Source organism: Homo sapiens, chromosome X (assembly GCF_000001405.40).
Source record: "Homo sapiens chromosome X, GRCh38.p14 Primary Assembly".
Lineage (NCBI taxonomy): Eukaryota > Metazoa > Chordata > Mammalia > Primates > Hominidae > Homo > Homo sapiens.
This window is the reverse complement of record NC_000023.11, coordinates 70,234,060-70,257,043: the sequence shown is the minus strand read 5'-3', so window position 1 is coordinate 70,257,043 and position 22,984 is coordinate 70,234,060. Positions and strand designations below refer to the sequence as shown.

The 22,984-nt window shown below is 42.6% G+C and overlaps 1 protein-coding gene and 1 pseudogene across 1 annotated transcript, besides 1 other annotated feature; both read right to left on the bottom strand.

Annotated features, from left to right (window-relative positions):
• Positions 2,658-3,857: an enhancer, noted in NCBI's record as "CDK7 strongly-dependent group 2 enhancer chrX:69473037-69474236 (GRCh37/hg19 assembly coordinates)". NCBI's record gives its function as "activates an origin of replication core promoter dependent on BRD2, BRD4, P300/CBP, MED14 and CDK7 cofactors, with strong dependence on CDK7, by STARR-seq in HCT116 cells {active_cell/tissue: HCT116}" and the evidence as "EXISTENCE:reporter gene assay evidence [ECO:0000049][PMID:35650434]".
• Positions 3,882-4,002, bottom strand: RNA5SP507 (RNA, 5S ribosomal pseudogene 507; annotated as a pseudogene).
• On the bottom strand, positions 16,385-22,389 carry AWAT1 (acyl-CoA wax alcohol acyltransferase 1). Its single transcript, NM_001013579.3, has 7 exons — positions 22,273-22,389; positions 21,221-21,328; positions 20,905-20,975; positions 19,796-20,000; positions 18,661-18,832; positions 17,110-17,309; positions 16,385-16,908 (listed from the first exon to the last, which is right to left on the bottom strand). The coding sequence occupies exons 1-7, from the start codon at positions 22,346-22,348 to the stop codon at positions 16,754-16,756; spliced, it is 987 nt and encodes a 328-aa protein (NP_001013597.1). The 5' UTR covers positions 22,349-22,389; the 3' UTR covers positions 16,385-16,753.

Below are 22,984 nucleotides of genomic sequence, written 5' to 3'. Positions count from 1 at the left end.
TTAGGAGTAAATGAACCGGCTTTTTTCTCCTCTTCTTACTAGTTCTCCCAGTCTCACAGCCACTGTTGCGTACACTGTTCCTCATCTGCACTCTCTTCCTTTTATTCCTATGACCATGGCCTCTTTGCCCATCACCTCCCCTAACCTGCTGTCCCCACCCAGTAAAGCTGCTCTTTCCATCCCAACTGACTCAGCCTCCTCCATTTCCTCAGTCTATTTAACTCCCATATGCTTAATCGAGATGAACTTTCTGGTCTGTTACTTTAGGGCTGTCTTCCCTTGCACTTTAGCTTTAAACACCTTGACTTTCACCTTAGGCCAATCTCCTTTCTTCTAGGACTGGAGGAAATTGCAGATGAAGCCAGAGAACAAGGCTGGCTTGACCCACTAAGACTTCACATCCTGGAACTTTGCCTAAGCTCTCATTCCTCTTAGCCTGGTGTGTTCCTAGTGAACATTCCACAGCAGCTGTTTCCTGTCTTTTTCACCTCCACAAGTCCCCAAATTCATCTCCTTCTTGTGATCTCTTAAGAGAGTTACCTTGCCTCCTGCGAAACTGAGAAGCTCTAACGCTTCAACTTCCAGTTATCATTCACGATAACTACTCTATATTTGCCCTGTCTTTCTCCCTTTCTTCCCTGAAGTTCCAGAATAAGAGGTGGTCCCCTTTCTTATTCCTTTGTTTACCTCTCTTCATTATTTCAAGTCTCTTCCATCACCCATTTTATCCCATCTTAAAAACAAACAACAACAACAAAAAAACCAAAGCATTATCACTGACACCTTAACCCTGCTGCCGTTTGTCTTTTCTTTTTTCTTTTTTTTTGAGACGGAGTTGCTCTGTCGCCCAGGCTGTAGTGCAGTGGCACAATTCTCGGCTCACTGCAACCTTCACTTCCCAGGTTCAAGTGATTCTCCTGCCTCAGCCTCCCAAGTAGCTGGGATTATAGGCACACATCACCACGCCTGGCTAATTTTTGTATGTTTAGTAGAGACAGGGTTGCATCATGTTGGCCAGGCTGGTCTCGAACTTCTGACCTCAAGTGATCCGCCCACCTCAGCCTCCCAAAGTGCTGGGATTACAGGCATGAGCTACCACGCCTGGCCTAGAAACCTTTTATTGTAAATATTCTCCCTGGTTGCTATAGTCTTTCATATCTATTATTTCAGTTGCCTCATAAAATTACACCTGTCAGTAGATTACATTTTATTTGACTATTCCCCTATTATTGAATATTTAGATATATTTCAATTTTTCTGTGCTTTGAACATCTTAATGTGTATGGCTTTTTTTCTTCTTTGTAATTCTGTCTCTAGGACAAATTCCCAGGAGTGGGATTACCAGACCAAAGAGCATGAATGTTTTTATGGATTGTGACTGCCAAAAGGACTGCAAAAATTTTCAACACCACAATGACGTATGAGTTGTTCCAGTTCCCTTGCAGCGCTAGCATTGGACTTTAGAAGAAATCTCTTTAGATGATTAAACATTATTTTGATATTTTTTTCATTTCTTTGATTACTCATGTGATTGAACTCTTTCCCATATGTTTACTCTTTGCATCTTTCTTTAATTGGCACCCTAGTGGTATTCTTATATATCTAAATGTATTCTTAATATACATGCTATCCCTTTGTCATTATTTGATGTAAATATTTATCTTATTTATTGTGATACTTTTAATTTTAGTTCCTTATTTTATCCTCTTGCTTTAGAATTTCTCTCCTCATGCTTTTATCTCTCTGATTACTTTCTATCTCCTTTGCTGACTTCTCTTTTGCTCCTTAAGTAAACAGCATTCCTGAGATCGGTCACAGAGTCATAGCATTTGGGGATTATTTAATGCCCTTTGTTCATCTGACTATTGATTTTGCCATGGAGAAAACATACATGCAGGTGACTCATAGTCCTTGAGAGTACCTCAGAGATCATATAGGGTCTGTGCACCCCCTCACTTTACGGTGAAGGAAACAGGCCCAGAGAGGTGGCTTGCCCGTGACTCAGTAAGTTAGTGGCAGAGAAGAGGCAAAGTCCCAGGTCTCCTGACTCCCAGGGCTCCATTATATACCATTATACCAAGCCAACTCAATTCTAGGCCTTCCCTTCTCCCAACCTCCACCTCTACATCTTCAATTGCCTACTAGACAGTTTCACTTGGACCTTCCATTGTTACTTCCACCCCAAGATGTCAAAAGCAAAACTCCCTGAACCAGTTTTTCTACCTGTCTTGCTAATTTCTGTTCATGGCGTCTTCTTTCTTCAAGTCAGCTAGGCTTGAAAACTCTCAGGCAAGTTCAACTCTTGTCTCTCCCTATTTCACAGGTTCTGACATTTCTTTCTTCATCTTGCCAATTACAATTGGCCTTCCTTTTAGTCTCAGCACCACCATTTTAATACTGGCTTTTGTCACCTTATCCCTGACTGTCATAGGCTCCTAACTAGTCTTCCTTATCTCCAGTCTCTTCCCATCGAAAGGCATCCTCTACAATGCATATTGCCAGATTAGTCTACCCACACACTGCTTTCAGAGTTTCACTGTCTTACTCAAAATTTTTTCATGGTTCACTATTGTCCACAAGACAAGTCAAAATCCTTTTGTCAGAAGTTCAAGAGGGTCTTTGAATCTTACTTTCCATTATTCCCCAGTAAAAGTCTCTCTTCTCTAGCTAAATTGGTCTTTTCATTCTCTTTCCAAACAAGACTTGGATTTTCTCACCTCCGTCTTTATTCTTCCTGTCCCCCACACTGGAATGCCCTCCCTTTCTTCTTGGGCTGCCCTTTTTCTATTCAGTTTCCAAGGCCAGGCTTAAGTCCTACTTCCTGTTTGAGGCCTTCTCTGCTGACTCTTACCCACAGTGACCTTCCAGGTCACTCCTAGAGTAATTATTGTCTCTATCAGTCATTGGGCACTTTTATTGTCTTTTAACATTACTTCTACTGTTATCTTGAATTGTTATTTAACTATTCATGTATGTTTGTCTTGAGTTCCCACCTATAAACCCCTTGAGTTACTGCGATAGAAAGGAAAGAGCATAGAACAGAAAATCAGAAGACCCAAGTCTGAGCTCTGATTCAGAAAATGGGGCTCAGGTGTGTCATCTTGGATGAGTCACTCAGACTCTCTGAACCACAATTTCATCATCTGTAAAAAGAAGACAATTATCTCAGCTTTAAGTACCTCTTCAGATTCTGGTGAAGCTTTAAGTACCTCTTCAGATTCTGGTGCTTAATAAATATTTTCTGAATGATTATACGTTAGTAATTCAGTTTTTTGTTTCTTCTTCTGGGTATATTTCCACTTTGAGAGGCCACAGGAACCCCAAGGAATTAAAGGCCAAGGGGACTTTAGGAACAATGGTGGTGGGAGGGCATTGGAAAGATGTTTTGAGGGGAAGTAGACATAACCAGCATCTTTCACATTCCACTCTGTGGGCTACTCACTACTTGGCCTGCCTGTAAGGCTAACCTGGATGTAGGGAGGAGGGGAAGGTGACACATTCTGAGCTTTCACTTTGCTTACGTTTTCTATTCCTTCATCCAACAATCCCCAGCTGGTTAAGTGAAATGCTTCACTCAGGAGTCTGCTCTCCTTCATTGATGTGATGAAAGCCAGCTTTTGGTAAAGGAAGTGATAAGGAGTAGTAGAGAGAACAAACAATTTTCATCAGATAACTGGACTTGACTTTGAATCCTTGATCTGATACTCACTAGCTGCATGATCTCGACAAGTTACTTGATCTCTCTGAACTTCAATTTCCTCGTTGATAAATTGGGATAAGAATACCCATTTGACAAAGCTGTTGCAAAGAGTCAATGGAGTAATGGATGACGAAACATCACTTACAATTCCTGTGGGCAGGAACTTCCTTTCAATGGTTTTCAACTTTAGCATAGCTGGACGTGGAATAAGAGCTCCCATTCAAGTACTAATCAGGCCCGACCCTGCTTAGCTTCGGAAATCAGATGAGATCGGGCACGTTCATGGTGGTATGGCCATAGATCATGGAACCAGAACTCAATATTTGAATCTGCTGCTTAGATGTGATAGTTAAGATCATGACAAAGAATAAACCTTCGAGTGTGAGAAGCAGAGGGCTAAGAACTGATCACCGAGGGATGGCCATAGTGATGGATTGGGAGGAAACAGTTTGGGACTCTGGCATTGCATCGAGGGAGAAGAGAGTTTCAGAAACAGGGATTTAGGATAGTTATTTAAAAAACAAAAAACCTTTGAATAAAAAAAGAGAACGATTAAGAAAGCAATCAACAGTGTCAAATGCCTAAGAGAATTCAAGGAGGATGTGATTCTCAGAAACACTCAATAAAAAATACTTGATTCTCTGCCAAACTGGGTTTATGCATACAATAGATAATAGCCAGTGGCATTGACTAAAGAGGCCAATTTTAAATAGCTTTTGTAATCAAGAACTTTTTACATGCATTAGTTGGTGACCACACCTCTTTCCAAAGTTTCCTGTTGACCACACCTCTTTCCAAAGTTTTCAGAATAACCCATTTAATGGGTTACTTGCCATAACTACAGAGCTGATATTTCCTATATGAGATGAGATGTGGCTTCTCATCAAAAGGAAGAGCAGAAATATCTGAGTGGAACCAAAGAGTGAGTATGTCTATGAGGGTACCTTGGTATAGGTTTGATTACCAGAGCTTATGTATTTGGGTCACAAGATGGGAAGAAAAATTATCCCTTCTTGGGTCAAAGTATAAATTATTAAAATGTAAGAACTCTTCCAGAGAGAGAGGAAGATGAAATCTTTCTTGAAGCAGATTGGTTATTATTGTTTATTTTGTACCACAGTTTGGGGTCCTAGTCCTGTTTTTGGATCTACTGATGGAAAGAAGGAAGTAAATGTACTGGGGCCAGGCGCGGTGACTCACGCCTGTAATCCCAGCACTTTGGGAGGCTGAGGCAAGTGGATCACCTGAGGTCAGGAGTTTGAGACCAGCCTGGCCAACATGGTGAAACCTTGTCTCTACTAAAAATACAAAAATTAGCCGGGAATGGTGGTACATGCCTGTAATCCCAGCTACTCGGGAGGCTGAGGCAGGAGAATCGCTTGAACCTGGGAAGTGGAGGTTGCAGTGAGCCAAGATCGTGTCACTGCACTCCAGCCTAGGTGACAGAGCAAGACTCCAACTCAAAAAAATGAAAGAAAAGAAATGTACTGGGAAAACTTAAGAGAAGAATCAACTGATACCCTCTCAGGGATCACCACGCCGATGGCACCTGCCCAATTTGTGTTACTTCTCACTGATGTTTAACTTACTGCTCTTTGTAAATCTCATTCCCTTCACTAAATCAATAGCCCTCTATCTGCAGTGTGAATAAAACATTTTTTTTACCCACTCTAAATATTGCTAGATCCCTTTCCAGAGGGTAGCTGCTGTTGTGGTTCTTTGAGGATTTAAGCTGGTTTGATTTTTTTTAAACGTTTTTGTCTTTATTTCTCTAATGAAATTTTCTCAAATACATTTTCCAGGTGCTACTAAGTTTTGAAGGGGCTGGGTTTAATATTGTTAAGCAGGTTTCTTTACTACAGGATTTATCTGGAGCCCTTAACATCATAATATCCACTGTGAATTTCTAAGAGGAGGGGGTTCTATGTACAATACCTACCAGACTTATGGACCAAGGAACCATTTTTTTCCTGCAAGGCACAGCTCAAGGACCTCCTATGCCAAGATACATTTTAGGACCACCGTTCTAGTAAGGGAAACCTACTATCTGGAAACCACCTAGTCAGAGGGTAGGAGTTAGCTTATGTCTCCTGCACTCCTAGATTTCTTCTCTCCACCATGGGCAGATACAGACCAAAAAAGTTCTTTTCTTTTTTCATATGTAGAAATGTAAAAAATGCTTTTCTACATTTTCCAGGAAATCGCACAGCTTTTCAAATTTGATGGAAAAGTTTTCCCCTCTCCTAATAATAAGTAAAATACTTTCCCTGGAAACCTTTCCCTTTTGAGGTAGTCCATCAATTAGGAATGCATTTGACTGTGTGTAACAGAAACCCATGGTGAGGGCTCAACAAGGTATGTGTTTCTTGTGTGTGTTTGTTTGTTTTATCAAAAAAATCCCCATGTCGGCAATACAGGGTAGGTACAGATGCTCAAGAAAATGCTTACAGCTTCCTGCTTTACCATCTCTTTAATGTATGTTTTTAATCTTTGTGGTTATAAAATGGCTGCTCAATTTCCAAGCACATTGTCTGTGTTCTACATGGGAGGAAAGGAGTAAAGGTATATAGCAAGAGGCTAAAGAATCCCGTAAACTAAGCCCTTTTTCTTTATCAGGAAAACAATAGCCTTTCCAGAAACACCACCCAGTAGACTTCTGCTTACACCTCACTAGTTAGAGCTAGGTCATGTGGCCACCCCCAGCTATGTGTATGGGAAGCTGAGTATATTGCTGCCCCAAATGGACAGGGAGTTTTCTGAGTAAAGAAGACAGGGATAATAATAGGTATTGGGTAGGATACTAGCAGGGTCTGTTACATACTGCTTGTTTTTTTTCTTCTGACTTAAAAACTGATTTTCCCATGATAACTTTCTGTAATACAACTAAACTCCTTTCTGAGAAAGTTCTGTAACAAAAGTAAGATTAACAGTATGCAATCCTTTATCACATCTTTTACAAACTTAACTTCTCGGAAAACCAAGAACCTAATAAATCTTGAATTCAACAATTGAAATTCCTCCAAATTGTCTTGTACTCATTGTGTACATACTATTGTAGCCTGACATTGTCGCTTCCATTTCACATGCAAAGTTTTATACAGTCTGCATGTGAGAATGCTTAATGTATAGTAAATCAGCATTAATAACCATCAACTGAATTTGAGCAGTCATCCAATAGATCGAGTTCTTAAGGACGTAGGCGTCTGACTTATTTCTCTGTCTTCCCCAGTGCCTAGAACATAATAGGTGGTCAATAAGTATTGCTGAATGAAGTGAGTGAATGAGTGAATTATCTGAGGTGTCCAGGAAGACCTGTCAGGGCCCTACGTTATCAAGGAAGATCTAGCCCCAAGTAGGAAAGGACCAGCCTGTCAGGTGAGAAGACAGCAGAAAAACTGAACTGTCAACAGTTGATTCAAAAGCAATTCTTTAAATATTGGTTAATTTTGGTGCACCAGAGATGGTTTTGGAAAACTTCTATGCATTTTAAAATATCTTTGTTTTTCAAAATTTGGGTTTTTATTTTTAATTTATTAAGGCATTGCCAAAACATCAGGTCTGGCACAACTGTCTAAAAATGAATTAGGAATAAAATTCCAAAAATGTAGGAGCAATAATCCCACATCTGAAAAGCTATGGATTTTTATTAAATTTTTAAAACTTGGCCGGGCACGATGGCTCACGCCTGTAATCCCAGCATTTTGGGAGGCTGAGGCAGGCAGAGGTCAAGAGATCGAGACCATCCTGGCCAACATGGTAAAACCCCGTCTCTACTAAGAATATAAAAATTAGCTGGGCATGGTGGCACGTGCCTGTAGTCCCTCGGGAGGCTGAGGGAGGAGAATTGCTTGAACCCGAGAGGCGGAGGTTGCAGTGAGCCGAGATCGTGCCACTACACTCCAGCCTGGCAACGAAGTGAGACTCCAACTCAAAAAAAAAAACAAAAAAAAAATTAAAACTTGCCTTACATTATTACAAACACAATGCATTATCACTACACAAGGATCCTAAAATACAGACAAGCAAGAACTCTGTGGGGCATGCAAAGATTTATTAGAACCCAGAAAACAATAACCATATGAAATAATTTGATAAATTAGGCTTTATCAAAAATTTGTAAAAATTGCTAGAAACAAATCTCCAATGAGGATTTTTTTTTTTTTTTTTTTTTTGAGATGGAGTCTTGCTCTGTCACCCAGGCTGGAGTGCAATGGCGCGATGTCAGCTCAAGACAACCTCTGCCTCCCGGGTTCAAGCAATTCTCCTGCCTCAGCCTCCCAAGTAACTGGGATTACATGCACCCGCCACTACACCCGGCTAATTTTTGTATTTTTAGTAGAACACGGGGTTTCACCATGTTGGCCAGGCTGATCTCAAACTCCTGAAATCAGGTGATCCGCCTGGCTTGGCCTCCCAAAGTGCTGGGATTACAGGTTTGAGCCACTGCGCCGACCAGAAAAATTTCAAATAATTCATGCAGCTGCTTCATCCTCAAGGATAGGGAGCATAATTCCCCACTCCTTAAGGGTGAACTATTGAGACTTCTCACAGAGTGGAAAAGGGGAAAAAGAGTAACTTTACAGTGGAGAAACTTGACAAATACTACCTCAGCCAGGTGATCAAGGTCAACAACTGTAATAAGTCTTGTTGATACTATGTGTCTTAGTTATAAGGTAATGAAAAATGGTACTTTACCTCTGTGGTCTTCTTCCCTGAAACCCATAACTTCAGTCTCATCATGATAAAAAACATCAGACAAATTTCAATAGCAGGACATCCTACAATGTACTTGACCAGCATGCCTCAAAAGCATCAAGGTCATTAAAAACAAGGAAAATCTGAAAAACCATCAAAGCTAAGGGGAGCCAAACATATAATACCTTAATGTAATAGGGTATGCTGGATGGGATCCTGGAACAGTAAAAGGACATTAGGTAAAAACTAAGGAAATATGAATAAAGTGTAGTTAATAATAACATATCAATGTTGGTTCATTAATTGTAACAACTATACCGTACTAGTGTGAGATGTTAACAATAGGGAAACTGCACTATCTCAATTTTCAGTAAATCTAACACTATTCCAAACAATAAAGTCTATGAAAGCACAAACAAAACTTTGCTCATCAAAAGAGACCATTACCGGCTGGGCGCGGTGGCTCATGCCTGTAATCCCAGCACTTTGGGAGGCCGAGGCAGGTGGATCACTTGAGGGCAGGAGTTTGAGACCAGTCTGGCCAACATGGCAAAACCCCGTCTCTACTAAAAATACAAAACTTAGCTGTGTGTGGTGGTGGGATCCTGTAGTCCCAGCTCTTCAGGAGGCTGAGGCAGGATTGCTTGAACCCAGGGGTGGAGGTTGCAGTGAGCCAAGATCGTGCCACCGCACTTCCAGCCTGAGCAACAGAGTGAGACTCCATCTCCAAAAAAAAAAGAGAGAGAGAGACCATTATCACATAAATTTATCACATAAATAGACAAACCACTGACTGGGAGAAAATATTTGCAAAACATCTATCTGATAAAGTGATAAAGTACTGGTATCTAAGATGTATAAAGAATTCCTGCTAACACTCAATAATGAGAACACAAAGAGCCCCACAAAATAGGCAAAAGATATAAACAGATACTTCAAAAAAGAAGATATATTTATTAGTGGCCAAGCATGGTGAAAAAAATGATCAACATTATTAGTCATCAAAGAACTGAACATTAAAACCACCATGGGATACTATTACACACTCTCCAGAACAGCTAAAACTAAAAGAATTGATAATGCCAAATGTTGGTGAGAGTGTGAAACATCCAAAAAATTTCCTACATTGTTGATGGGAGTGTAAAATGGTACAAACACTTTTGGAAAGAGTCTGTTAGTTTCTTATATAAGTAAACATATACCTATCCTGTGACGCAGGAATTATATTTCCAGGTATTTACCCAAGACAAATATATGGCCATATAAAGATGTTTATAGTAGCTTTTCTTTCTTTTTTTTTTTTTTTTTGAGACAGTGTCTCACTCTGTCACCCAGGCTGGAGCACAGTGGCATGATCATGGCATACTGCAGCCTCAACCTCCCGGGCTCAGTTGATCCTCCCACCTCAGCCTCTCGAGTAGCTAGGACAATTGGGGCTTGCCACCACACCTTGCTAATTTTTCTTCTGTAGAGATGAGGTCTCGTTTTGTCGCCCAGGCTGGTCTTGAACTTTTGGACTCAAGCAGTCCTCCCACCTTGGCTTCCGAAAGTGCTGGGATTACAGGCATGAGCCACTGCGACCAGTGTCTTAAATAAAGTCCACCATAAAGAAGATTAGAGAGTCACTATTCATACCTTGGTGTATATCCCTCCAGATCTTTTCTTATGCACAAATACAAGGGGCATTGTAAACTTATTTTGGCCAAATGCTGAATGGCCAAGTTTTTTCCTTCTAATTTTTATTTTAAGTTCAGGGGTACATGCGCAGGTTGTTACATAGGTAAATTATGTGTCACTGGGGTTCGGTGTACAGATTATTTCATCAGCAGGTAGTAAGCATAGTACCTGATAGGTAGTTTTTTGATCCTCACCCTCCTCCTCCCACCCTCCACTCTCAAGTAGGCCCTGGTGTCTGTTGTTCCCTTCTTTGTGTCCATGTGTACTTAATGTTTAGCTCCCACTTAGAAGTAAGAACACGCAGTAGTTGTTGTTCTGTTCCTATGTTGATTCGCTTAGGATAATGGCTTCCAGCTCCATGCATGTTGCTGCAAAGGATATGATTTTATTCTTTTTAATGGCTGCATATACTCAATGGTGTATATGTACCACATTTTCTTTATCCAATCCACCATTGAAGGGCATCTAGGTCAATTCCATGTCTTTTCTATTGTGAGTAGTGCTGTGATGAATATACACATGCATTTGTCTTTTTGGTAGAATAATTTCTATTCCTGTGAGTATATACCCAGTAATGGGATTGCTGAGTAAAATGGTAGTTCTGCTTTAAGTCCTTTGAGAAATCTCCAAACTGTTTTCCACAGTGGCTGAACTAATTTCCATTCCCACAGTGTATAAGTGTTCCCTTTTCTCTGCAACCTTGCCAGCATCTGTTATTTTTTGACTTTTTGATACTAGCCTGTATGACCAAGTTTTAAAGTCAATATTCAACTGAAGCTCAGGATGAAGTTGAATATCACTATCTATTTTAGCATGAATCTCTGGTATATAAGAATAAATCTGAAACTTTATTAAAAATAAATATTATTACAACTTAAAATTTTTGGTAGCAATTTTTAAGAAATTTGACCTTACAGCGAAGGAACCATAATGTGTCAGCATTGTGAGCAGCATGATTGTTCTTGTGCTCACTGTTTTGTACATTTTCCATGTTAAATAAATGTTTACTTTCAGATGAAGTCAATGGAAGAGCACAATTCATGGCCCAAATGGAATTAGTTAATTAAAAATTAAATATAGTTCCTAGAAGTTATTTCTAGTGTTGTTAAGACTAGTACATCAAACAATTCTATAAAGATTAGAATTGAGATATAATTTAATTTTTTTTAGGCAAGGTCTCGCTCTGTCTCTCAGGCTGGAGTGCCGAGGCGTGATCACAGCTCACTGCAGCCTCAAACTCAAGCAATCCTCCCACCTCATCCTCCCAAGTAGCTGGGACCACAGGCGTGCACCACTATGTCGGGCTAATTTTTGTAGAGATAAGGTCTCATTATGTTGCCCTGGCTGGTCTCAAACTCCTGGGCTCAAGCAATCCTCCCATCTCAGCCTCTCAAAGTGTTGGGATTACAGGTGTGAGCCATTGCACCTGGCTGGAATATTACCTATGGTATGAAAGTGATCTTCTTATGTCCCCCTTATACAACATGGAGTATGTTATGTACTGAGTATTTGTGTTCTCCACCCCATAATTCATATGTTAATATCCTAACCCCCAAGTATGGCAGTATTTGGAGATGAGGCCTTTAAGGAAGTAATTGAGGTTAAATTAGGTCATAAAGATGGAGCTCTGATCTGATAGGATTAGTGTCCTTACAGAAAGAGACACCAGAGAGCTCCCTCTCACTCTCTCTCACCAAGTGCATTCACCGAGGAAAGACCATATGAAGACCTAAAAGCAAGAAGGGTGGCCATCTATGAGCCAGGAAAAGCGCCCTTACCAGGAACCAAACTTGCTGGCACCTTAATCTTGGACTTTTCCAGCCTCCAGAACTGTGAGAAAATAAATTTTAGTTGTGTAAGCCGTCCAGTCTGTGGTATTTTATCATAGCAGCCCAAGCCAAGTAATACAGAGTACTTTGGCCAAATTCGGTGACTCTGCCTAGGATTTATTACACCCACACACACCCCTGGGTTTTATCTTATATATGTTCTAATTAATTGGTTAACTCTCCTGTAACTTTTAAAGCTTTTCGTGTAGGAATATAATTAATTTCTTTTCTTATTAGTAAAAACATTTAAAAGCGATTAGGTTTTCTTTCAGTACCAATCTGGCAGAAACCCACACATTTTTAAAATAAATTATTTATTTTGGATTAATTTTACACTTACAGAAAAACTGCAAAGATGATGCACAGAGTTCCCAAATACCTCTCATTCAATTTCCCCTAATGTTAACATCTTATATAACCATGGCACATTTTTCATAACTGAGACATTGACATTGGTACATTACTATTAATTAAACTCCAGACTTTATTCAAATTTCACCAGTTTTTCCACTGATACTGTTTTTTTCTGTTCCAAGATGCAATTCAGGATAGCACGTTGCATTTAATCATCACGTCTCCTTAGTCTCCTTTGGTCTGTGAACAATATGTCTTTCCTTGTTTTCATGACTTTAATGACTTTGAAGTCCTAGTCAGGTATTTAGTGAAATATTCCTCAATTTGGGCTTCTTTGATATTTTTGTCATAATTAGACTAGGTTCTTGGGACTGGAGAATAGCACAGAAGTGAAATACCCTTCTTCTCACAAGATATCAACATGATTTATCACTTGTGATGTTGTAACCGCCCAAGGGGCTCACCTTGCCCGCTGCCTAGACAGAGCGAATTCATCAAGACAGGAGAATTGCAATAGAGAAAGAGTAATTCACACAGAGCCAGCTGTGCGGGAGGCCAGAGTTTTATTATTACTCAAATCAGTCTCCCCAAGCATTCAGGGAGCAGAGTTTCATTTGTTTTGTTTTTGTTTTTGTTTTGAGATGGAGTCTCACTCTGTCACCCAGGCTGGAGTGCAGTGGCGCTATCTCAGCTCACTGCAACCTCTGCCTCCCAGGTTCAAGTGATTCTCCTGCCTCAGTCTCCGGAGTAGCTGGGATTACAGGCGCCTGCCACCACGCCTAGCTAATTTTTGTATTTTTAGTAGAGACGGGGTTTCACCATATTTGCTAGGCTGGTCTTGAACTCCTGACCTCATGATCCACCCGCCTCAGCCTCCCAAAGTGTTGGGATTACAGGCATGAGCCACCGCACCCGACTGGGGAGCAGAGTTTTTAAGGATAACTTGGTAGGTGGAGGGAAGCCAATGAGCCAGGAATGCTGATTGGTCAGAGATGAAATCACAGGGAGTCGAAACTGTCCTCTTGCACTGAGTCAGTTCCTGTGTGGGAGCCACAGGATCAGATGAGCCAGTATATTGATCTGGGTGGTGCCAGCTGATCCATCAAGTACAGGTTCTGCAAAATATCTCAAGCACTGATGTTAGGAGCAGTTTAGAGAGGGTCAGAATCTTGTAGCCTCCAGCTGCATGACTCCTAAACCATAATTTCTAATCTTGTGGCTAATGTTAGTCCTACAAAGGCAATCTAGTCCCCACGCAAGAAGGAGGTTTGCCTTGGGAAAGGACTGTTACCATCTTTGTTTAAACTATAAACTAAGTTTCTCCCAAAGTTAGTTCAGCCTACACCCAGGAATGAACAAGGACAACTTGGAGGTTAGAAGCAAGATGGAGTCGGTTAAGTTAGATCTCTTTCACTGTCTCAGTCATAATTTTGCAAAGGTGGTTTCAATGTTAACCTTGATTGCTGGGTTAAGGTAGTGTTTGCCTGGTTTCTCTGCTGTAAAGTACTATTAGGTTGGGGCAAAAGTGATTGCAGTTTTGCCATTAAAAGTAATGCTTTTCACTTCCCACACTCTGTTCTTTGGAATTGAATTGCTAAATCTAGCCCACACTTGAGGGTGGGGAGGGGATTAAGTTCTACCTCCTGAGGGGAAGTATCTACATACATTATTTGTAATTCTTCTGTAAAGAAGATTTGTCCCTTTGCCACTATTTATTTGTTTACTCATTCATTTATATCAATATGGAATCATGTATACATAATTTATACTTCAGATTATAATTCAACACTATGTTACTTATGTTATTTGTCTTATTGCTCAAATTGTTTCAGCTTTGGCCATTGAGAGCTTTTTCAGGTTGCTCCTGTGTCCCCTTGACACACCATTATTCTTTTGTTTTCTGAGCACTTCTTTGCTTTCTGACACTTGAAGATGCTCCAGGATGATCTTCTATTTGCATACATTTTTATGTGTGATATTTACATTTCATTTGTTCCTTCCAACATATTCTATTATTGTCTCTAAATTTATTTTCTGAGCCAGTTGTCAGGAGAATATTTTTTATTCCAATTCAGCTGTGGACTCTAATTCTATCTTAATTATTTATTTCTAAGTTTGCTGTGTTGTATCCTGTGATTATAGTAGGTAGAATTTCTGCCTTTTACATCTTAGTTAAAAGTATTTTTATTTTCAAATACATAAATAATGGTTGTGAATGATTCATGTACACTTGTAAAGAAAATGTAATTCCCTGACTTGCTCACTAAGTCCTTACCATTTGAAAGCCTAGTCTACGTTATTTATTGTATTATTCAGCTCTGTACTTTTCAGCCTTATCACAAATCAATCCCTATCAAAAGGCTATGGAAGAATGAAGGAAGGAGTAACTCATTCGGTCTGGTGAAGGCTTCACTGGGAAGGTGAGATTTGATGTAGGCTTAAGAGATGAGCACGATCTCAGCTCACTGCAACCTCTGCCTCCCAGGTTCAAGTGATTATCCTGCCTCAGCCTACTGAGTAGCTGGGACTACAGGCATGTGCCACCACACCCGGATAATTTTTGTAATTTTAATAGAGATGGGGTTTCACCATTTTGGCTAGGCTGGTCTCGAACTCCTGACCTTAGGTGATCCACTCGCCTCGGCCTCCCAGAATGCTGGGATTATAGGCATGAGCCACCGCACCCCCACAGAATTATTTTTTTCTGTGCAATATTCATTAACATCTAAGGAACATTATTGGTACCCAGAGTGGAGGTATTGTAGGAACAGTAAAGGATTTAAGCAGGGGAATGAAAAGTCAGATATAAGTTTTAGCAAGATTGCCCTGGAAATAGCATGATGGGTGGGTTGATTAAAGAGGACTTTTCTAGAGGGAGTGGATATAGTCTTGGAATGTTGAGGGCCTTGACTAGATTGTGACTGTAGAAGGGGAGAAGGGGACAGGTTGGATTAATATGAAGGTGGCAAAATTGATACAACTTGGTGATAAGTTATGAAGTTGGGAGAAGGAAGATGACTCAACTGGTATTGGGTATGTTGAGGTTGAGGTGCTTGTTGGAGATTAGTAAATTGGATATATCGCACTGTTTGCTTATGAGGAAAATATGGGTTAGAAATAGATGTCTCAGACCTGAAACAGTAGAATGTGAGAGAACAGGATGGGACCCAATATTTAAAGGTTAAGCAAAGGAAAAAAAAAGCTAGTAGTCTCAATGGTCTTTTAACTTTTGGTCATTTGCTGTGTTTTTAAGTGTCTCTTATTGGCTGCCTCGTGAAGGAAGAGATATCTGTGTTTTTATTTACTCTTTTAAGATTCTCAGAATACAACTTTAAGAAAAACTTTTATTTATTTATTTAATTTAATTTTTTTTTTTGAGATAGAGTCTCACTCTGTCTCCCAGGCTGGAGTGTAGTGGTGCCCTCTTGGCTCACTGCAACCTCCACCTCTTGGGTTTAAGCAATTCTACTGCCTCAGCCTCCCGAGTAGCTGAGACTACAGGCGTGTGCCACCACGCCTGGCTGATTTTTGTATTTTTAGTAGAGACGGGGTCGGGCTGATCTTTAACTCGTGATCTCAGGCAATCCACCTGCCTTGGCCTCCCAAAGTGTTGGGATTACAGGCGTGAGCCACTGCGCCCGGCAAGAAAAACTTTTAAACAGAATTTAGTAAGGCTTTTAAAACATAGATATCAAGTGTATTCCCCACAGTAGGCTATGAGGATGGTTGCAAGTGCCCTGGGACTATGAAGTCAGAGGATCATTATGACAAGGTGACTTATGGGAAATGCCCATGCCAACTAAAAAATGATCCTGAGTACCTTTTATCTATCCTAAAGGCATGCTTGTCAGTGGTGTGGGCATAAGATAAGCCTTTATATCTGGGGATGGCAGATGACCACACAAAAACTTGTACATACATGAGTATTTATAGCAGTACTGTTCATAATAGCTAAAAAGTGGAAATGACCCAAATGTCCATCAAGTGGTGAATGGATAAACAAATGTGGTATACCTATACACACTGGAGTGTTGTCCAGCCATAAGGAGGAATGAACACTAACACGTGCTACAGCATGGATAGACCTTGGAAATATTATGCTAAGAAGCCAGCCACAAAAGACCACATATTGTATTATTCCATTTATATAAAATGTTCAGAATTGGCAAATCCACAGAGACAGAAAGTAGATAGTTGCCCAGGGGCTGGGGGAATATGCAGTGACTGCTAATGTGTCCCAGAGGACTCAAATGATGACCAGGCATCAGGCCCCAGCATGAGGGGCACTAGGATGCCCTCCTTTGAGGAATGACTGTGTGCAGCTCTTCAGAAAGAATTCCTGTAAGGACCCTGTGGCAAGAAGGCAAAGAAGGAATTCCTCATGCCCTCCCCTACCACATATAACCTCCCTCATCTCCTGCCTGTCTTTGGTTAGTGGCAGATGAGTCTCTTCTTCAAGGCAGGCACTCCTGTGCTCCTGGGCATGCAGTACCTTCATTCACAGGAAAAACAGCTTTTGGGTCTCTGAGCAGCCATAGTGGGTCTTATGCTGGTCGAACAGTTTGTGCAGAGCATCCATATAAAGTGCATGGTATTTGTCCACCATCTCCTGGCTTGGCTTTTCAATTTGGGGCAGTGGCAGAGGCTCCCCAACTGCCAAGAGAGATCGGAAAAGAGAAGAGGAAAGTGTTAGGACCTCCTCTTCCTTTAACCTCCCTCTCCTACCTTGGGCCTGACTCTCGCATCCCAGATCAGCTCCCACCTTCCCCTCTGCTGCCCTCTTCTTTGGTGGGGCCAGGCTGAGGTTGAGGTTGAGAAACCTGAGGTGGCACTGGGGCTGAGAGTGGCACTCACCCACAGTGACAATAGGCCTGGAGTATGGCAGGAGCCCAGTGGAGCCTTGACAGAAGCTTTGTCCATAGAAGACACAACAGTAGAAACCAAAGATACGGCGGAAGCAGCTCTGGAACTTGTACATCCTGCTATCCTTATGGAACAGCACCTGATCATACACCTCAGTTTCCCCAAAAGTGAAGGTGGGGACCAGATGAGCCCTGTAGGAAAACTCCAATTTATTTTCTAAACACAAGCTAGGATGAGACCCACCCTGGAAGAACATTTGTTTGCTTGCCAGGCCCTCATCTATTTTGATGAAATCCTGGTGACATAAAGCATTTTTTCTTGCACTAAACAGGGTTTCCCTATTTAATGTCTCTTGTCATGAAATTTTCAAGGCCAGTGAGATTGCTCTCTCTGGGCCAGGATTACAAGGGCACGATATAGCCAGGGGGCGGGGAGCGTCAGGGAAGCAAGAGAAGTTGAGCAGAGATCCCCAAGAGGGGATGCATAAGGTATTCTGTCCTTGGGTTATGGGATTAGAGCAGAGAAAAGTTGTTTCCCTTCCACAGACCATGAGATTCCACCCTGAACAGTGCCCTGGGTAGACAGTCAGGCTCAAATTCCGTGAGGGAAAGAAAAGTAAATCTCTCTTATACAAATCTTTGTGACTTGCTAATAACAATCTCTCAGCACTTTGACATATGTTACCTTACTGGTTCCTCACAGCAAAGGCCGTGGAGGGCACAGTGGGGGATGCAGAAGTACAGGTTCAGAAAGGGATGGCCACTCAGGCAGTGAGTGAGTGGCAGGATCTGGACTAGAACCCAGGACTCCCAGCTCAGAGCTCTCTTCCCTACATGATTCTTCCAACTGGTGAACAGGCCCTTCAGGCAAGGTCCTTGGAAGAAATACTGCCCTCTTCTCTAGGTCTGCAATACGACAATTGTCCCTGTGTCCAGAGAGCTGGCCTGCTGACCCAATGGGGCACTCTACAGCTCCAGCTCTGGACCCCTAAATCACAAATACTAACATTTATTGATCTCTTACAGTGTGCCAGGGACATGGTAAGTGTTTTGTGGGGATAAATTCATTTAAAGCCCACAGTCACCCTATGGAGTAGGTACAGTTCTTAGCCACATCATTAAGATGAAAAACACCAAGGCTCAGAATGGTTAAGGAACCTGTCCCAGAGTGCACAGTCATGGAGCCAGGATTTTAAATCAGGCTCCTGACTCCCAATCCTGCACACACACTCATTATACTGTACTGCCCCATGCACTTACCATTAGCAGACAGATGTAGATACCAGCATTGATAGAGATAATGTGGGCATCATCTATATGCCAGGGCAGCCTTAGCCCAATCCCCTTGATATTGAACCTGGGTTTATGGTTTGGCCTCTTAGAAACTAGTTGAGCTAGCTCAGAAGGACTGGATGACCCATTTTTCTTACTTGGTAGTATGTTCCTTGAGGGCAAAATTCACATCTGATTCATCCTGGCCTCACCGACAGGGTCATGCTGCTCAGAGAACACCATGCACTGCCCCTCTGTGGGGAACACCTACCCATGCTGGAGGGCTGTGCGCACGAACCCCTTGCGCTTCTGGAGGATGAGGGTGGTGGTGTTGGGCACACTTTGCAGGGCCTCACCCACACCTCCCACTACAATGCCCACGAGGTTGCCAGTGCCATGGCTCAGCAGATAGTTGATGGCTGGCTGGCTCACAGAGCACACACCTAAAGAGAATCAAGGAGCAAAATGATCAGGAGAGGAGAAAATTGCTAAGAGGGAACACTCTTCTCTGCTCTTCACTGGCTTGTTCTCATAGTTCCAAGGAGGAGAGGAGCAATGAGATGGGACTAAAGAGTGTGGAGAAGAAAAGGCTGTTGACAAACAGAATAGCTCACAATGAGGCAATATCTTCACTTTGCAGGAGGCACTGAGCCAAAACCGGTAGGAAGGTTTTCAGTGGGATAACCAGAAGGACTTCCTGAATCCCATGTATAATGGTACCTTTTTTTTTTTTTTCATTAAGAGCAACAGCTATTATTTATTGAGGATATACTCTGTGGCAGGCATTGTGTCGAATTCTTTTTTTTTTTTTTTTTTTTTTTTTGAGACAGAGTTTCTCTCTGTCACCCAGGCTGGAGTTCAATGCTGTGATCTCGGCTCACTGCAACCTGCACCTCCTGGGTTCAAACGATTCTCCTGCCTCAGCCTCCTGAGTAGGTGGGATTACAGGTGCCCACCACCATGCCCAGCTAATTTTCGTATTTTAAGTAGAGATGGGGTTTTCCCATGTTGGCTAGGCTGGTCTCGAACTCCTGACCTCAGGTGATCCACCCACCTCAGCCTCCCAAAGTGCTGGGATTACAGGCGTGAGTCACTGCACCTGGCCAGTGTCGAATTCTTTACTTGCATCATCTCACTTTTAGTCATCATCCCACAACTGATGTCAGACTATTTTCATCTGTACCACTTTATGGATGAGGAAACTGAGGCTAGTTTGCTCAAGACCACACAAGTGGTAGAGCTAGGAGGGTTCAATGCCAGGCAGCTTAGCTCTAGAACATATGCTTTTGACTACTATGCCATAATGACATGGGGGCGGGTGGGGGGAGGAGGGGATGGAATTTAAAAGGGTGCATTTCCAAGCAGAAACATGGACCAGAAGCTCCAGTAAGTATGGTCAGAAGCACCTTTGGCCATGAGGTACTCCCTAACAAAGGGGATCTTGAAGAACCAGGACAGCGTGGCCAAGTGAGGAGTGATGCCTGGGAAGGTCTTCGAGAAGCCTGTGGCCTCAGTGCAGAAGTTGCAGAAGGCGCCAAAGGTCAGGAGGCCATGGGGGTGAACCCCCATGAGGTAGTTGTGCTCAGGTGATAGGTCCTTTGTCTTCAGGATCTGCAGCCATGGAGAGAAATGCCAGAGGTGGTGGAATGAGATTACATGGCAGAAACAAGGGTGGTGATACTTCAGGGATCAGGGTGCTCTCTAAAGCAGAGCTTTCCAACAGATTTCCTGAATGGGTTTCAGGAGGGCTGAGATATTGGTCTCTGTGGCCATTGGACAACAAGGTAGGATCTGGGACAGCTAGAACTGCCAGATCTCCTGCCTGTGGCTAGAAGTAGCCTCAGCCATCTATGTCAGTGTGCTTTGTGCAAATTATCATTGTCTATGAGCACTTTTGTGAAAAAGATCAGGAAGCTTGGCTCTAAAAGTCGGGGTGGTGTTTGTTGTATACTCCAAAGAGTGCCCTGAGGATCAGCATAACAGTACATTTCTGGAACCTCTTCCTGGCATTGTTTCCTGCCAATCCCCTTCCAGTGCCTGCCTAAATAACTTGTATGGAACTTGGAAAACCCTGCTAAGATATCACCATGTCTGTGAAGCCTTTCCTTATCCCGCATCTGAACTACTTCTGTACCTTGTGCCAAACAAATAATATACTTTATACTAATGTCCTCCCCATTAGATGTGAGCTCCTCGATGGCAGAGAATTGCATCCTATTCATTTCTCTGTACTGCTAACGTGGTTCAGAGTAGATTTTCAATCCATGCTTATTAAACTGATCTGAACTGTGCTTGCCTTCTGACTGTGTCAGCTGGCAGGTGATGCCAAGGGTGTCCAAAGTTTCCTAGCTGAGTATGGAGTGCTCAGTAGAAATGTTGAATCTTGAAGTATATCTAGCATAGACTGAGACTTCCCTGGGATACTTATCTTCCTTATGGACAACTCTAGTCATGTGGTATAAATGCCTACCCAGTATTTTGGGAACTCTGAGGACACTGGGGAAGAGATACTTACCGTAATGGGGAAATAGTCCCTGATGTGGGTCCAGACACACCAGTTCCTTACCCAGGCCGAACGCCTGCCACCTGAGGCAAAAGAAGAAGTAGGGGATGATGTCAGTGTGTGCCATCCCATACATTCCACGGACTCAGGGATTCCCTAGCATGGCTCTGCTAGAGAGGTGGGAAAGGAGGAGACCCTAGGATGGTCCTGTTTGGCCGAGCTCCTGTGGCTCTGAGAACTTGGATGAGGGGCCTGTGGTATGGCGAGTGGGACTCTCTGGCTGCAGGTTATGATGGAACATTCTTCTTTCTAGGTCTGTGAGTCTTACCTCGCTCTGGGGTCTTCCAGTCCAGGAACAACCAGGCAAAGTAAAGCACTGGTAGCGGCCACAAGGATGTAAACAGCAGGTAGACGAACAATGGCTGCAAGATCCAAACTGATGAGGGACCAGGTTAGACCAAATTTGTGCTGCCAGCAGAACTTGACCATGCCCAGTCCCATCACCAGCTCTCCACATTACCTAAGCCTCTGGTCCTGGCCCTCAACACAATCCAGGTCCTGTTCATCATCCATGTCTACTTGTCCTTCAAACTTTTCCTCTATCATTTACCATACAGAAGCCCTATTTCTCTGCCTGTCTGTCATCCCTGTCCACCTGCTTCCCTGTACAGCCACTACCTCTGTACTCCTGCTCTCTACTTCCCACCAGTTTTTTTTCCTCCTGCCCCCATTTGGTCACCATCTTTTTCCTCTTGTCTCCTGTCTCCCTCCCTATCCGTCATCCCTCGTTAAGCCACTAGCCCACTCTCCCTCACCCCTATACTATCTATATCTTCCTACACGCTGCCCATCCAGCATCTGCATCCTTCTAGTATTTCCTATCCACTATGCTTGTCCTCTTGCCCATTCACCATTCTTTCCAATGACACTGTCTTCCCGCATGCTACCACCACCCCACTCCCAGAATAGACAACTCTATGGTTCAGACACAGGCTATACTTCTTTAAGTCTGGGATGCTAATGTTTCCTCTGTCCTATTCCCCATGATCATAAGGGAGCATTCCCTGGGCCTCACTTTTCCTCTCTAGATAGTAAGGATTAGGAAGTGGCTGAAATTAACTAGATCTACTCATATCCATCATGACCCTGTTCCACCCCCCGCCCCCTCCCACTACATATTCTCACTGTCTCCTGGGGCTCTATCTCATTCTTCTCCAGGGCACTCATGGAACTCAAGACTCCTTGGTTTTACTCTCTAGTACAATCTTAGATGATGGAAAGGCTCAAAATGAGACTTCACATGGCCCTAAAAGTCACCCTAGATCTGGCCCTGGCTTCTGACTCTGGCTTCTTGCTATGCACTCTTGGGTCAATACTCACAGATGGCAAGGTAGCTCAAAGGCCACTGCAGAAGCATCAGACTCTGGAAGTGACTAGGCTGCTTGGAATGAGCCATGATTCTCGGGAGCCTGAGGGAGGCAAAGATCTCAGAACAGTGTTCCAACCAAAGGTGCCACCAGCCTCTGGAAGTTCACTTAATAGTGAATGCATATAACTATGAGGAGTTTGCACCTGCCCTCTTCCCTCTTGTCCTTCCCTGCCCCCCCACCCACCGCAGGGGCAGGCTCTGAAGTACAAGGACTGCCCCGTCAGGTCTGGTCCAGCTCATTTGCCCTTTGACTCTCTTTCCTAGGATTATTAGGACATCAAGATGGAGAAAGGTGAGAATGACTGCCATGTAGTCAGAGTGACACAGGGACCTAGAGAAGGTGAAACCCCCTCACAGGCTACTCAGAAACTATAGGGATTTGTGACCTTTGGGAGATGACTGCTGGGAAGGGAGTTCTGGGGATTTGTGATGTGGGGAGCACCTGGGATTTGGCTTTTGTTGCCCTGAAGCAGCCTGCTTTGGGGCTGCCCCACCTTTAACTTTAATTATAAAAATTTCCAAACACACAAAAAGCTAGAAGATGCAACAAATTTTTATCTTCATGTTCATCTTCAACAACTATTAATATTTTTCCATACTTGTTTCATTTATCTCCCCACCTTTTTTTTTTCTTGGAGTATTTTAAAGCAATTCTAAGATAGT

Bases quoted from the DNA above. Each gene is read 5' to 3' on its own strand.
- AWAT1 (NM_001013579.3), bottom strand. From the start codon at position 22,348: ATGGCTCATTCCAAGCAGCCTAGTCACTTCCAGAGTCTGATGCTTCTG. The intron at 21,329-22,272 runs GTGAGTATTGAC...GTCCCTCATCAG, and splicing joins TTTGAGCTACCTTGCCATCT to TTTGGATCTTGCAGCCATTG. The intron at 16,909-17,109 runs GTGAGTGCCACT...CTCTCTTGGCAG, and splicing joins CAGGCCTATTGTCACTGTGG to TTGGGGAGCCTCTGCCACTG.